General features: G+C 42.4%; 1 annotated feature.

The window, feature by feature from the left end:
* Window positions 1,611–2,276: an enhancer, noted in NCBI's record as "H3K27ac hESC enhancer chr3:179791123-179791788 (GRCh37/hg19 assembly coordinates)". NCBI's record gives its function as "activates a minimal SCP1, AML or CMV promoter by ChIP-STARR-seq in naive H9 embryonic stem cells {active_cell/tissue: H9 hESC(naive)}" and the evidence as "EXISTENCE:reporter gene assay evidence [ECO:0000049][PMID:30033119]".

Below are 2,478 nucleotides of genomic sequence, written 5' to 3' on the forward strand. Positions count from 1 at the left end.
GATTTTTCACAGAGCTTCTAGAGCAGTTTCTAAAATAAATATGGAGAAGATAGAAGAGCCAAGAATAGCCAAAAGATTTTAAAAACAAAGAGTATGAGGGGATGTCAATCATTACTGCATACCTCCGTACTTATTAAAAGAGGAAGAATATCACTGAAAAGGCTCTTAATAACATAACATCTGGCTTATAAAAATCCTGAGTTAGGAAGGACATTCCTTACCTCTTAGATTTATATACATAGGTCCACGAACTCCTTGATTGCATACACCCCATTATTAATATTTCATGAATCTTCCAGATTCATTCATTCACAAATATTTATTGATCACTGCCTATGTGCCCAGTATTTTGCTAGTTGCAGGGAACTGATTGCTAGTTGCAAGATAAACTATTCTTCCTTGCTTTCCTCAAGCAAATCTCCAACATTGAAGTGAATTACCTAATGTGATAAAAACAGTAAGTGGCAGTGTGCGGTCTTCTAACTCTAAACCCAATCTTTGAGGTAAACAAGGTTGAGAATTAGGAGAGATCTAGCAGACGGTATTTTAAAAGATAGAATAAAACTCTGGGGGAAGAGTTTATTAGCAAAGACACTTAGGCCTGGACATGTGGGAGGGTTTCAGTGAGGGGGGTAGGAGATATCAAAAACACACTCTCTTCCTTTTGGGATAAAAATACTCTAAAACTAATTATGGTGATGTTAGCACTACTCAGTAAAGTTGCCAAAAATCATCAAATTGGACACTTAAAATAGATGAATTTTATAATATGTAAAATGTAACTCAATAAAGCTGTTAAAATATTTTTTTTTAGCTGTGACATGAAAAAAGCTTGGAAGTCATCACTCCCACACTCAAAATGGTAAAAACATTGAACAAACTGAAAATCAATGACATTTCTTAAGTCCATCAAAGAAGTAAGGTTACAGGGCAAACTACCTCCCCACTGCCCTCTAAATCTGGAAAGACTGGCAAATACAAAGAATCAGAGCCAAGATCAGTTTACCTGAAGCAGAAGCCACCAGAACAATAAATGGGTAGAAACACTTGTATGGTAATTTTGAGGAATTTCTGGAAGCTGAGTGTACTAGCTTGAGGTTTAAACTCTTAAAGGTCTAGTCCCTATGGAAGCCAATACTTTGCAGATTTACCTCCTGGAGCTTCACCAGGTTCTTTTCTTGAGGATCAGAGAAAAATTTCTATCTGTATTTGGAGAAGAGGGAGGGGAAGAGTAACCATTTTGAATATACTCAGAATTCCTCCATAACAAAAGCCTACCCTCCCAGGGGAGGAGGTGGAGCAATATGGTGGAATAGAAGGGCTCCAGCAATCATCCCCCACTCATCACAAAGACACAATTTAAGAACTGTTCACACACAAAAAAGCACCCTCATAAGAAAAAAAAACTCGGTGACCACTCAAAGTACCTGGTTTTAACTTGATATTGCTGAAAGAGGCACTGAAGAGGTAGCATTAACAGTCTTAAATTGCTGATGACACTGCCCCCCACATCCTAGCAGTGGTGGCGTGGTATGGACAGCATTTCTGGGTGCTGGGGGAGGGAGAGCAAAGCAATTGTGAGACATTGAACTCAGTACTGTCTTGTTATAGCAGAAGGAAAAACTGGAACAAATTCAGCTAACACCTGCCCACGGAGGAAGCATTTAAACCAGCCCAAGCCAGAGGGGAACTGCCCATTCAGCTGTTGGAACTTGAGTTCCCACAAGCCTCGCCACCATGGGCTAAAGTGCTATGGGGCCCAAAATGAACTTGAAAGGCAGTCCAGGCCACAAGGACTGCAACTCTTACGTGAGTCCTAGTTCTGAACTGGGCCCAGAGATAGTGGACTGGTGGGGACATATGACCTACTGAAACACCAGTTGGAGTGGCTAAGGGAGTGCTGGCATCATCCCTCCCCTAACCTCAGGCTGCATAGCCAGTGGCTCCAAAAGAGAATTCTTCCTTCTGCTTGAGGGGAGGAGAGGGAAGAGTGGGAAGAACTTGTTCTTCCATCTTGGATACCAGCTGAGTCACAGCATGTTAGGGGATGAGTCAAAGACATGAGGCTTTAACTCCCAGACAACTTTTCCAGACACATTCTGGGCCAGAAGGGAACATACTGCTTTGAAGGATCTAGTTCTTGCAGAATTAATTACCTGCTAACTGAAGAGCTCTTGGGCCTGGAATAATTAGCAGTGATACCCACATCAAATGCCTTGGATAAGACTCAGACTTGCTGGCTTCAGGTGAGACTATGCACATTCCAAGCTGTGGTAGCTACAGGGCAAGCCCCCTTCTGCTTGAGAAAGCAGAAAGAAAAGTAAAGAGGACTTTGTCTTACACCTTAGGTACCACCTCGGCCACAAGGATGTAGAGTACCAAGTGGGCTCTTGGGGTCCCTGATTCCAATATTTGGCCTTGGATGGCATTTATATACCTGCCCTGGGCCAGAGGGGAGTGTATTGCCCGGAAGGGTGG

This window comes from Homo sapiens, chromosome 3, assembly GCF_000001405.40.
Source record: "Homo sapiens chromosome 3, GRCh38.p14 Primary Assembly".
NCBI classification, from domain to species: Eukaryota; Metazoa; Chordata; class Mammalia; order Primates; family Hominidae; genus Homo; species Homo sapiens.